Genomic DNA, 12,858 nt, shown 5'->3' with positions numbered 1-12,858 from the left:
CCAGTGTGGGGTGGGTTTGTGGGTGTCGGTTGTAGCCTCATCTTTTCTGTTTTCCTGTCTCATTTTGGCAGGCAAACAGACCTTGCTGACTGAAGGCAAAGACTCCTCCATCCCACCTGCCCTCCCAGCTGCCACGGCCATCGACCCCTCCTTTACAAGGGGCTCCTGCAACTCCCCAGCAGCACGTGTTGGAATGGACTTCGGACCCTGGCCTCTTGGGATGCAAAGGTAGATGCTTCCGGTTCCCAAGATGCCACTAGGAAGTGTGGGGTGGCCAGTTTGGGGGTTGCTCTTTAGGGTACGGACGATGTAGGGCCTAGACTCACCTTTCCCAGTGGGTTCTGATCCTGAGGGTGGTAGCTTAAGCACCATCAGTGAAAATGAAAAAAGTGTTGGATGGAGAAGAAAGCTCTGGCCTGGGAGCAGGGCACCTGCATTTGGGCCTTGGCCTTGTCACCGACTCACTACTTACTCTCTGGATCTCGGTTTCCCCACCCGTGAAATGAAGAGGTTAGCATAACTGGCCTTTTAAGGATCTTCCCAGTGTTTCTATGGTATGACATTGAACAATGCAGCCCAGGCTTTGTGGCCAAGGACCATTCTCCATCAGATGCCACTCCCAGATCTAAGCATTAGGTTGGAACTTCGTCTTAGAAGGGCTGGACAGTAGTTCCAGCCTTTCTCCATCTCCAGAGGCTGCTCTGCTGTAAGCTCATATGTGGTAGGAGCTGGCCTGGGGATGATTTATCAGGCTCTCTTCAGTGGTCCTCCGGCCCAAATAGGACCCTTCATAGAGGAGAAGCTGTAGGTGCCTTTTGACCCAGGCTTGGAAATAGCCCTTTGCGTAAGGCAGGTCACTCATGCCAGGGAGGGGTAGTCTGTGGAGCTGGTACTGTCAGATATTTACCTGCAGGTATCAAACGTGGCAGTTCTTGGGGTGAGGGGTTGACACACATTGGGTGACTCATTGCATGCTGGTCATTATTCAGTACTTTCTTGAGATCCCAAGGAAACCAGTCCAGAGGGATTGGGTGTTTGCGAAGTTCACGGGCAAGGTCTAGGGGTGGAAGCAGAGGCTGAGGGCCTAGAGGATGTCTGGGGAGGGCAGGGCCGGGGGCTGCTCTTCCTATGTGTGCCAGCCTGGAGCCGGTGTCCCTGGCTCACCTGCCTGCGCTCTTCCTCCCCATGGTCACTCTGGGCAGGTGTGTCCTGCCCCTCCCTCTGGGGCTGGGCTCAGCAGCCCTGGACTTCGAACTTGCAGGGAGGAAGCGCTTGCAGAGACGGGAGCCTTGGTGCGCACTGGGGTTTGGTAGGTCCCTGAAGCTGCAGACCTGCCTGAATCCAGGCCATGCCTCCTCAGGGAACTAGCTCTGGATACAGCCCAGAGATTTGCAAATCAGATGCAAATGTGGCCTTTGGTCGCTGTGGTGGGGCAACTGTGTGGCTGCGACTCTTCTTCCTGGTGTGCAGAAGGTGATCATGCTCCTGAAGTTGGTCTGTCGTACTTAGGATGTGCTGCCGTTGTCCCCTGGATAGCACCGGGGCTGTTTAGACTGTCACCTGGAAAAGGCCGTGGGGGGAGTTTCGTGGCGCTGAAGTCTTCTGGGCTTGGCGTTAGCACCTGCACCTCTGCCACCTTCCCGGGCTATTCTTAACAGACTCTGCTTCCTCTGATGATCATGAATCCTGGGATGCAGGCTCAAATATATGCAAGCCTCAGGGTGGTCTTGCCCAGCCCTGCCCTGTGCCCTGCCCATGAAGAGGCTGTGAGTGCCTGCAGAGCCCCCTCCCCTCTGAGAGGGTAATGTTTGCCTGCTCTGTTCTCAGTGACGGGTTTTTTGTTTTCTTCTTTGCCTGGGCAAAACACGCCTATTCGTTTTTCCCTTTCTGAAGTTTCCATTCGCTGTTGACTCCCAGGGGTCATGCAAGCGGGGATTTGTACCTGGTGTGGGGTATGGGATCCACAGGTCCGATGGGACACCTGTATCCTAGCATCGGCTGTCTTGGACTTGATAATGAAGCTTGGGAACTCCACGGGCTCCGAGTGAGAATATCATGGCCAAGTCCCTCCTCACTTAGCCCTTTCCAGTGACCAGGCTGGACTGCAGGCGGGGGTCCTCTGTGGCAGGGGTGACCCATGGTCTCAGAGCTGTCCTGCCTCACCAATGTGGACCAGGGGGCAAGCCTGTGCGTAGGTCTGGTCTGCAGGCCTGACCCTGTCTGGCTCAGATTCCCCCCACCTCTGGCTCCTCTGCAGAAGAGCTGGTTGAATTTATCCAGCAGTACAGAGGGTCTGGGGCCAGGTGCGGTGGCTCAAGCCTGTAATCCCAGCACTTTGGGAGGCTGAGGCAGACAGATCACTTGAGGTCAGGAGTTTAAGACCAGCCTGGCCAACATGGCAAAACCCCATCTCTACTAAAAATACAAAAATTAGCCGTGTATAGTGGTGCATGCCTGTAATCCCAGCTACTTGGGAGGCTAAGGCAGGAGAATCACTTGAACCCGGGAGGCGGAGGTTGCAGTGAGCCAAGATCGCGCCACTGCACTCCAGTCTGGGCGACAGAGCAAGACTCTGTCTCAAAAAAAAAAAAAAAAAAAAAGAGAGAGAGAGAAGAGGGTCTGGCGTCTGTCAGTCACTCACCAGCAAACAGAGTGGACAAGACCGCCCCTGTTCTCATGGAGTCTGGTAGGCGAGGCAGCGTGAAACAAACCCACAAAAACAAAAAAGGAAGACGCCAGCAGAGAATGGAAGTAGGAGGTGGTGGTGGGAAGTGACTGCTTGGCACTCCTGGCAGGCTGCTCAGAGGAGGTTTCTCAAGGACGTGGTGACATTTAGCTGAGATTGAAGGACAGGAAGTGGACAGATCAGTGAAGAGCAGGCTGGAGAATATTCTAGAAAGAAAGAACAGCTAGCCTAATGGCCCTAAGGTAGGATGCCCTCAGTGCATCCAGTGACTGGAAAGAAAGGCAGAGTGGCCAGGACGTGGATGGGGACGTGGATGAGGTGGGTGTCAGGAGGTGCAGGGCTTTGTGTGCCTGGGGAGAAGTTGGGATTTTATGCTTAGGTGATAGGAAGCCGCTGGAGGGTTTTGAGCCAGAGGTAAAGTGATGTGATGGTTTTCTGTTTTTTGTTTTTTGTTTGAGATGGAGTCTCACTCTGTCACCCAGGCTGGAGTGCAGCAGTGCAATCTTGGCTCACTGCAACCTCCGCCTCCCGGGTTCAGGTGATTCTCCTGCCTCAGCCTCTCGAGTGGCTGGGATTATAGGCAAGCGCCACCATGCCTGGCTAATTTTAGTGTTTTTAGTAGAGACGGGGTTTCACCATGTTGGCCAGGCTGGTCTCAAACTCCTAACCTCAAGTGATCCACCCACCTCAGCCCCCCAAGGTGCTGGGATTACAGGCATGAGCCACTGCACCCAGCCAATGTTTGTTTTAAAAAGGTAGTTGGGGCTGCCAAGGGAAGAAATTGGGAGGCCAGAGGGGCAGCTGCTGCAGCCGATGGTGTGAGAGGATGGTGGCTGGGTGAGGAGGAGGTGGACAGGCGGGGAAGGGGTCAGAGCCTGTATGTGTATAGAGGAAGAGTTAGCAGGACTCAATGATGGATTCAACGGGGCAAGGAAAAGAGAGGGCCCCAGGATGACTCAAGCATTCTGTGCCCGCGGATTTGTGGCTCTGTGTCTTCTCCTCTCTCTCCTGCCCCCTGAACACAGCAGTACCAAGAAAGACCCATGGCTTTGAGAGGGTTAACGTCTCATGCATTAGGGGAGAAGTGCCATCTTGGAACCATGCTGGGTGCTGAGAAAGGCTCGTTTGAGTGGGTCGGGCTCCTTGCGGAGGGAACTGCTTCTCTCCGACACCGTTTTCAGGAGTGAGCCTGGGAGCAGGCCAGGACACACACTATCCTTTCAGCCCTGGCTCTGCACTGAAGCCAGCTTTGTGTGTTTGCTCCCTGGGTTCTGTGCTGGGTCTGAGATTGGGTCTAAAAGTTGGCTGAGTTTCTCTTACTGTGGCTTTGAATGTGATCTGTGCGCTCAAGGGCTGAGCTTCTGCACACCTTTTTCCACGTGCCGGGTCATATAGAGCGTCGTTGGTGAGCTGTGAGGGCTGGCAGATGGGTTTGTCTGAAGCCCCCATATTTCCATGGGGTCAGCTCAGCCTCCAGCCGCTGCTCATCTGCTCATCGGCAGGGATCCTAATAGTGTCGCCACACACAAAGGTGTGAATTGCCCCAGTACCCCGCTCGCCTGAAGGCCAGTCTCCCTTTTCCCAGTGCCTCTGACATGAGGCTCCACTCTCCTGGGTCCTGACACCATCTGTGAGGGCCAGGTTGGGGCAGGCAGTCCCAGCATCGATGCTGTGATAGCAGTGATCCCCAGCGCCCCTGGACAGGCCCCATGCCGCCCTGGGCACTGCCCTGTAGCCCTGGAGCAAGCCAGAGGCCTGGTTGGCGAGCGTGAAGCTGTCACAGCCGGCTGCCGGGCTCGCGTGAGCACTTGCCCTTGCTGGCAACGTATTCCCAGCCATATGGGCCAGCCCAGCCTTCCAGGAACACTCTGGAGACCTGACCTCCATGGAGGTGACAGGAAGGGAGGGCCGGTGATGTCTTGCGGGGGCGAGGGTGGGGGGTGCATCGGGGATGTCCCAAGTGGGAAGCAATGTGTGGCACAGCAGCCTGGCCCTGTAAGGAGGCTCTGGAGGCCTGACCTCCAGAGGCAGCAACGGGAGAGAGCAGAAGTGCAGGCTGGCAGCGGCTTGCGGGAGTGGTGGGGCTCTCCCAGGCCTACAGCTGGTGCCTCTGCCTGGCTCCGAGGGGCGTGTCAGCCAGTCTTCCTGGGCGTGTCTGCCAGGCCTCAGAACACTGGGCCGGCCCTGGGGGAGGGTGTGTCCGGGTGGGAGGCGTGTGCATCTGTGCACGCGTGGGAGGTTTTTCTGCTTTCCGCCTCTATGGTCTGCACTAGATCCGTGACCTTCACTCCTAACTGGACTGGACAGTTCTCATGCCATCCTCCAGGGCTTTGATCTGATGTGAGGCTGGCAGCTCCATGGCCTGCAGCTGGGGTGGGGGGTGCAGAGGGGTGGGAGCAGGAGGGTTCCCCACCTCCCACCGTGATGTGGTGCTCCAGAGGATGGGTAGACCCCAAGGTTGCCTTGGGCTGGGCAGAGATGTGGCTGGGAGTTGGTCTGGGAAGAGTTATTGATCTTCCTGATTTCTCATCTGGGCAAGTGTTCCACCTGGTGGTGCCGAACCCCAGCCTGGGCCTCCTTCCTCCGTTCTCCCCACACCCCCTGCCTTCGGAGCAGATGCAGGAAAACCCCGCATCTCGCCATGCACGGGCCCCAGGGAAGAGGGATTGGGAAGGGCTGGGGGCACCTGCCCTGTCTGGAGCTACTCGGGGGACTTCTCGGCGGGTGACGCAGTTGATCCAAAGGATGGGACAACCCGTGGATTTGGGAGGGTTGACGCGGTGTGGTGGACGAAGAGAGAAGCGCCTCTGCCCTGCCTCTGTCCCTGAGTGCCCACAGTGAGAGAGGCTGGCATTGGAGAGGCGACGTCAGGTCTCACACATGGAGGAGTCCCGGAGTCCTGACTGCATCATCTCCTCGTGTAGACCTTCAAGCTCCTCCTCTCCGGTCTCCTGCCAGGTTCCCCCATGTGCTTTTGTTCTGGAATCTACCCAGGGATAAGCCTGGTCCAGGTGAAGGCCCTTAGGCCCAGAGCCACCACCCTGAGGCATGAGGCGGCCAGTGATCCCCTTGCTGCCCACCTTCCGCGGGACCCCTGGATGCTGCCACGTTCCCACCCACACCACTGCCGCTTGCTCTCTGCCCTTCAGGCCTGGGGGTCGCTCCCCTTCCACTCACCACCTGAGTTTTCTCTCTGGTCCGGCTCCTTGGCTTTCCTCCGAAGCAGGGGCTTTTCTGAGCCTGGGCCTTGCTATGGTAGCTGGGTTGGGACCCCCGTGGCCAACGGGGTAAGAGGAGGAAAGGTGTAATTAAACACTAGTTTCTTCTCCAGAAATGCTAATCGGGAAAAGCAATTAAAAGCGACTTTTTTTTCCCTTAGTAATCTGTGTTAAGAGCTGGTAATGAAGTTTAGGGCCGTTGTGACTCAATATTTCAGCTTCACCGACTCAAGTCAAAACAATCCGAGCCCAGGAGTTTGCCAGCAGCTGAGCTGGGCCCGGGCAGCAGCTGTGAGTCCCACGCCGTGCTGCTCTCCAGGCAGAGAGAGGATCGGTCCCAGCTGCGGGGAGGAGGTCTGGTGACACAGAGATGGGTCCCCTCGGGCACCCCTCCAAAGACCCTGGAAATGCATCCTAGTGAAAATGCTTAGGACGAGGGTGTGAGGAGCACCTGGTTTAGGGGGCAGGACTGAGGAAGCCTGGGGTCCAGTAGGGTCAGGGGAGAGGAACTGGATGCTTGAGGAGCCCACTGGGTTGGGCCAGGGCTCAGCCTCAGGGGTTCAGAGCCGGAAGAGGTGGTGGTCCAAGTCCTGACCTGTCACCTCTGGCTATTCATTTTCCATTTCCATTCAGCGACACTGTGGGTAGTCATTGTAGGTGCTCGAAATGAAGAAGAGGCCAACGTCCTGCCCTCATGAGGTTTACATTCGGATGGAGGGAGCCAAATGATACAGGAGAAAAAGGAATAAAGGATGTGCTGGATGGCGATGCGTGGGAAGGAGAAAACAAGAGCCTCTTTGCAGACTAGAATAGGGAGTGAGAGGCAGGTGGATGGATGGTTTGTCATTTTAGATGTGGCTCCCAGGGAAGGGGTCACTGCGATGGTGACATTTGGGTGAAGACAGAAAGGAAGTGAGGGAGTGAGCCAACCTAATCGATATCTGTAGGAAGAGCATTCATAGCAGGTGTGAGATCCCAGAGGCGTGTTGGAGAAGCAAGGAGACCAGCGTGGCTAGAGCAGAGTGAGGGGCAGATGCCATCTGAAGTCGAGGGGGTCAGGGTGGGGGGCCCTCAGATCCCGTAGGCCTTGCAGGCCATTGTGAGAACTCTGGCTTTTACCCAGAGTGAAATAAGAAGCTTTTTGAAGAGTTCTGAGTGCCATGATCTGATTAGGAACAAGCTCTTTATTAAAAAACAAGACCCACCTGTCACCGACTCCGCCTCTCACAGGTCGCATATGTGCCCGGATCGCCCTTCTTGAATGCACTCTCTCGATGTTTCATCTGGGAGCGGGCAGAGAGGGCACAGAGGGGTCTGTCTGGAACTTGCCCTGCTCTAGCCTGGGCCTCCTTTCCCCGGTCCTTCTGGGGAGCCGCTCAGAAACAGGGTCTTGTCACTTTAAGCAGACCCCCACCCGCCTCCCTGGCCTGCTTTATCTGAAGTCCAAGCGCATGTTGTTCCAGGACCGATCCGCTTTAGCTAATTAATAATCTGACAGGAGCCACCCAGGGGATTAGCCGTTGAGCTGAGCTCCACCAAGCCCCAGCAAATGAGCCCTGTGCTCCTTGGGGACATGGAGGTGACTTTGCGGGGTGCAGTGAGAGGGGACCCCCGCAGGTGAGCTGTGGTATTGGACAGTGCAGCAGTGACGGGTGAGGGAGGAGGCTGGGCAGGGCAGAAAGTGATGAGAAGAGCCTCTTGAAAAGAATCTGCTGTCCTGAGACGGACAGGGACCTCCACTCCCCCTCACTGCCTCTTCTGTCCTGCTCACCCCGTAGGAACTGTACCCCCCTGCCGGGGGCTACCTGCTGAGTCATCAGGACGGGGCTGCCAGAGTTAGCAAATAAAAATACAGGATACCTAGTACATTTAAATTTCACACAAATAGCACGGACTTTTTAGTATAAGTATATTCCATGCAATGTTTGGGACATACTTATATGAAAATAGTATTCATTGTTTTTTGTTTTGTTTTGTTTTGTTTTTTGAGATGGAGTTTTGGTCTTGCTGCCCAGGCTGGAGTGCAATGGCACAATCTCGGCTTGCTGCAACCTCCGCCTCTCAGGTTCAAGTGAGTCTCTTTCCTCAGCCTCCCCAGTAGCTGGGATTACAGGTACCCGCCACCACACCCAGCTAATTTTTTGTATTTTTGGTAGAGTCGGGGTTTCACCATGTTGGCCAGGCTGGTCTCGAACTCCTGACCTCAGGTGATCCACCCACCTTGGCCTCCCAAAGTGCTGGAATTACAGGCGTGAGCCACGGCACCTGGCCGTATTCATTGTTTATTAGAAATTCACATTTCACTGGGCATACTGTATTTTCTCTGGCAGCCCTAAGCAGGGAGGGCTGGCAACTAGGGGGGCTCCCTCTCCAGGGCAGCTGGGACCTCCTTCTGGAAGAGCCAGCACTCCCTGGGGAGCTGCCTGGGGACTTTGCAAGCAAGGCAGGGCTGGGGTCACGATGACCTCCACTCCCACAGTACAGGGAGAGGAGGATGGAGGCAAACGCCGGCCACTTGCTGGAGTCTCCCAACCTGTATTTGGGCCCAGGTGGCCCTTGGGTGAATCGAGTCTAAGTCCCCACAGGGACATCTGTGGCCACCAGGCTGGGGAGCAATTCCCCAGGACCGCCTTCCCTGGTGAGGCTGCTATCTAGGAATAGTCTAGGGGCCTCTCCAGAGGAGGCCACCTGAAGTTTCTGGGGTAATTTGGAAAGATGACCATCCGCTAAGGGCATCTGTTCTGAGCCCAGGGAGAGGTGGGCAGGGATGGCCCACTGTGTAGGAGGGGCTGGACCAGGCCAGGCACAAGGTCAGGGACGACAGCCTGCTATGCAGGGCCACCTCTGTGTTCCAGGACCTTTGGGCACTGAGCAAGAATCCCCGTCTGCTGCCCTCTCCATGCCCACCCCAACTGGGCAGCCCGTGCTAGCTCCTTGGGGAGGGTGTGCCCTGCAGGGTGCTGGCCTGCCTGGGCTGTCACTGCGGGCAGGGAGGGGAGGGCCAGTCTGGAGTGGAAAGCTTGATGGGGTCCTTACTGCTCCCTCTGGTGACCCCTCACATCCTAGATCCGTTCCTGTGGACAGAGAGCTTAGGGCTGCCAGCTGGTGGAGGTCCAGCCTCCTGCAGCCAAGGAGCTTGATGCCAGGCGGGCAGTGCCCCAAGGTGGGAGCTCTTTGCTCTGGCTCTGTTCTCTAGGAGTTAACAGCATCCTGTGCCCTGGGAGGCCTCCTCTGCCCTGGCCCCCTGGGCTGCCCTCCTCCCAGCCTTTCCCGGCACAGCCAGCCAGGGCATCTTGTGGTGTGAGCAGAAGGGGGCCGGGGGTGCCGCACGAGTGGGAACCTCTTCCGCTTCCCGAGCTCTCAGCCTCTTCCCCAGCCTGCCCGGTGGTTTGGCCCCGTTTCTCGAGCCAGCTCCTGCCCGTGTTGCCTCTGACCAACATCATTAGCGTGGGTATTTATATTTCATTAACAACATTAAGCCCAAATGGCATTAAAAGCAAAGCTGGTGATAAATAGCTTATTAATAAACAGGGAGTGCTCCGTGCTGCCTGGCCTCTCCCAGCCCTGGTGTTAACCCTTGCTGCCCTAAATAAATATGCCTCACCCTAAAGATCATCCCCCTGAAGATGGGGCCAGAAGTCGGCTTCTGGCCCCTGTCGGCTTCTCTGCCCTCTGTCGGCTACTCTGAGGTCAGTGTGTCTTGGATTCTAGGCCAGGCAGGTCTGGGTCACTTGAGCTCACAAAACCTGGCCAGACCCCCTCAGGGCCTCTAATCAGATCCTTGTCACCCTGTCCTCACTGGTTTTGATTCTGGGGATTAATAATTTAGGAAATGTGGCTTTTCTAGGTTGTAAGCTCAGATCTTTCCTATTCCCTTTTAGCCGCATCTGAAACAAGGTTTACAGACTCAAAGAGTCACAATAATAATAATAATAATTAATAATAATAATAGCAATGACAGTTACAATCGCAGCCAGCATGCACAGGGTGCTCACCATGTGCTCACTGGTGTCTTGGCGATCACTCCACACGCAGCAGCTCTCAAATCCTCCAGTGACCCCAGGAGCGTCCAGCTCAGCCTCCTTTTATTTTTTATTTTATTTATATTTATATATATATATTTTTTGAGACAGAGTCTTGCTCTGTCACCCAGGCTGGAGTGCAGTGGCACCATCTTGGCTCACTGCAACCTCTGCCTTCCGGGTTCAAGCTATTCTCCTGCTTCAGCCTCCTGAGTAGCTGAGATTACAGGTCGCGCCACCATGCCTAGCTAATTTTTGTATTTTTAGTAGAGATGGGGTTTCACCATGTTGGCCAGGCTGGTCTCTAACTCCTGACCTCATGTGATCCACCTGCGTCAGCCTCCCAAAGTGCTAGGATTACAGGTGTGAGCCACCTCGCCCAGCCTCAGCCTCCTTCTATAAGTGCGCAAACTGATGCCCAGAGAAGTGAAGCAGGGCTGGGCACAGTGGCTCACGCCTGTAATCCCAGCGTTTTGGAAGGCTGAGGCGAGAATCGCTTGACGCCAGGGGTTCAAGACTCCCATCTCTTAAAAAAAAAATTAAAAAATAAAAATTAGCCAGGTGTGGTGGCGCACGCACCTGTAGTCCTACCTATTTGGGAGGGGAGGCTGAGGTGGGAGAATCACTGGAGCCCAGGAGGTTGAGGCTATAGTGAGCTGTGATCGCACCACTGCACCCCAGCCTTGGCAGCAGGGCAAGACCCCGTCTCTTAAAAAGTAGAAGAAGAAAAGAAAAGAAAATCGAAGCAAAGCAGCGTCACTAGCCAGGCCTCATGTCACACAACCCCCGGGCTGCTGTCATTGTGCAGTCGGCCCTGAAACAGAACTCATTGCAGAAGAGCCCATCCCTGGCTCCTGGGCCACACGTGTGCCAGGGTTTCTCAGAGCCATGGCTCTGGCCTGACTCTCCCTGCCCCCGGGCCCCTGCCAGTTCGTCATGCAATGCCCCTGTCTAGGCAAGCTGCCTGCACACAGGCCGGCTGTCCAGAGGGCACAGTTATATACCTTGCAAGCCACCACTCCACCTAGGACCCAGAGGTGCCAACAGAGAGCCAGCAGGGGTGTCTGTGATGCTCCGGAGACCCGTGTGAGCCTGTGCTTCCAATTGGAGCAACTTCTACTCGGTGCCCTTCTGGGGAGCAGGGAGCAGCCAGGCCTTGGTTGTTGGGGGTTATAAGTCAGTATTAATATTTGTTAGATGTAAGGTCATCTTTTAACACTTCTAAGAAATAGGGGCACGCTCAGCCCTGGGTCCTCTCGCAACCCCAGCTCCCCAGCCGAATTGGCTGAAAGTAAGAAGAGAAACTGGAACCTTGTCTAGATTAAGAGGCCCCACTTAGAACCTCCTGCTACAAGAGTCTCCGTATTCGCCTGGTCCATTCGGGGCTGTCTGGGCCACACCTGGCTGAAGGGGGAAATGGGGCTGTCTTGAAGTTTGCAGCATAAAAGGAAAGATAGGCCGGGCGTGGTGGCTCACACCTGTAATCCCAGCACTTTGGGAGGCCGAGGTGGGTGGATCACAAGATCAGGAGATCGAGACCATCCTGGCCAACATGGTGAAACCCCATCTCTACTAAAAACACAAAAAATTAGCTGTGCATGGTGGCACACGCCTGTAGTCCTAGCTACTCAGGAGGCTGAGGCAGGAGAATTGCTTGAACCAGGGAAGTGGAGGCTGCAGTGAGCTGAGGTTGCACCACTGCACTCCAGCCTGGGCGACAGAGTGAGACTCTGTCTCAAAAAAAAAAAATAGGGGGGAAAGATGGAGGGAGGGTGGAATGTGAAGCCGCCATGTGGTTGCAAGATGGGGACAGGGTGGAGGGCATGTCGTGGAGACCATCTGGCTGTGTCTATGAGCACTCAGGGAAGACGGAGAGCTCATTAATTAGCAGGGCTCCTGCTGTCTGTGCAGGGCCCCGGACTGCTTCTCCCAACCCATTCCCAAGCTGGGAAGGAAGCTGGGACGCAGCAGCCGCAGGGCTCCTCATCAAAGAGGAATCCCACGTCTCATCCTGATGCCTGCAACCTGACCCCCAAAGACAGAAGCGAGTTGGGGGACCTGGCAGGGAGGCCTCACCAGACTGACGTGGCGATGTTAGGGCTGCCTCAGGAGGTCTGATTCGCATCTGCTGCTTCTGCCGAGAAGACCTCCATGCTTGCTCTGGCCACGTGGGCCTTGGCCATCATGGCAGGGCATGGTGGGTGGCTGGGAATTGGAGACACTGTGGAGTTTATGACTGTCACCTACATTACAGTTCAGGTGACTCTACAGGCATAAAACCAGTGGTCAGAGACCCCAGACGAGGAGCAAGCAGTGGTGAAGGGGCAACCAGGCCTGCCCCTGCCTGGAACTAGTGGTCAGGTCGGGGAGCTGACTGCGAGAAAGAGGTACCATGGAGAGAGATGGGCTCTGGAACCAGGCTGACCTGAGTTGCAGTTCAGACCCACTGTTTTATAGACATGGCCGTCACTCTGCAAGCTTAGCCTCATTGTACTCCTCTGTAAAATGGGCACAATAGCATCGTCTTTGCAGGGATGCGTTCTCTAAAATGCCTGTGACCGGACCTGGGACCTGGTAGGTACTGAGTGAGGGGTCACTGCTGCCTCTGTCACTGTTAGGCCCACTCCTAATTTGTCGTCGCTAACGTCTGTTTGAGAAACGGGAAAGGAAATGGGTGAAGAACACGGTATATACACAGGGCTCGGCCTGCCGCCCCTGCCCAGGATAGGTGAAGAACATGGTATACACACAGGGCTCGGCCTGCCACCCCTGCCCAGGAGTAGCTGCTGCAGCAGTAAGGACAGGCCGGGCCTGGCAATCACCTTCTCCTCTGCCAGGCTTAGAAGGGGAGTTGGATGCAGGGAGCCTTTGAAAGGCGAGCACATGGCCGGGCGCAGTGGCTCACACCTGTAATCCCAGCACTTTGGGAGGC

At 55.8% G+C, this 12,858-nt stretch overlaps 1 protein-coding gene across 4 annotated transcripts in view, besides 1 other annotated feature; it reads left to right on the top strand.

The window, feature by feature from the left end:
* The window catches only part of CASZ1 (castor zinc finger 1), a 160,043-nt gene that overhangs the window by 35,718 nt on the left and 111,467 nt on the right, over window positions 1-12,858 (top strand). For all 4 annotated transcript variants that reach the window (NM_001079843.3, XM_017001540.3, XM_047423404.1 and 1 more), the window contains one exon: window positions 72-228. The gene's annotated coding sequence lies outside the window, so the exon portion shown is untranslated. The remainder of the gene's footprint in view (window positions 1-71; window positions 229-12,858) is intronic.
* Window positions 6,036-6,223: a silencer, noted in NCBI's record as "fragment chr1:10814763-10814950 (GRCh37/hg19 assembly coordinates)". NCBI's record gives its function as "represses an EF-1alpha promoter that drives an FKBP-Casp9 reporter gene in an ReSE screen in K562 erythroleukemia cells {active_cell/tissue: K562}" and the evidence as "EXISTENCE:reporter gene assay evidence [ECO:0000049][PMID:32094911]".

Source organism: Homo sapiens, chromosome 1 (genome assembly GCF_000001405.40).
Source record: "Homo sapiens chromosome 1, GRCh38.p14 Primary Assembly".
Taxonomy (NCBI): domain Eukaryota; kingdom Metazoa; phylum Chordata; class Mammalia; order Primates; family Hominidae; genus Homo; species Homo sapiens.
This window is presented reverse-complemented; position numbering and strand designations above follow the sequence as displayed.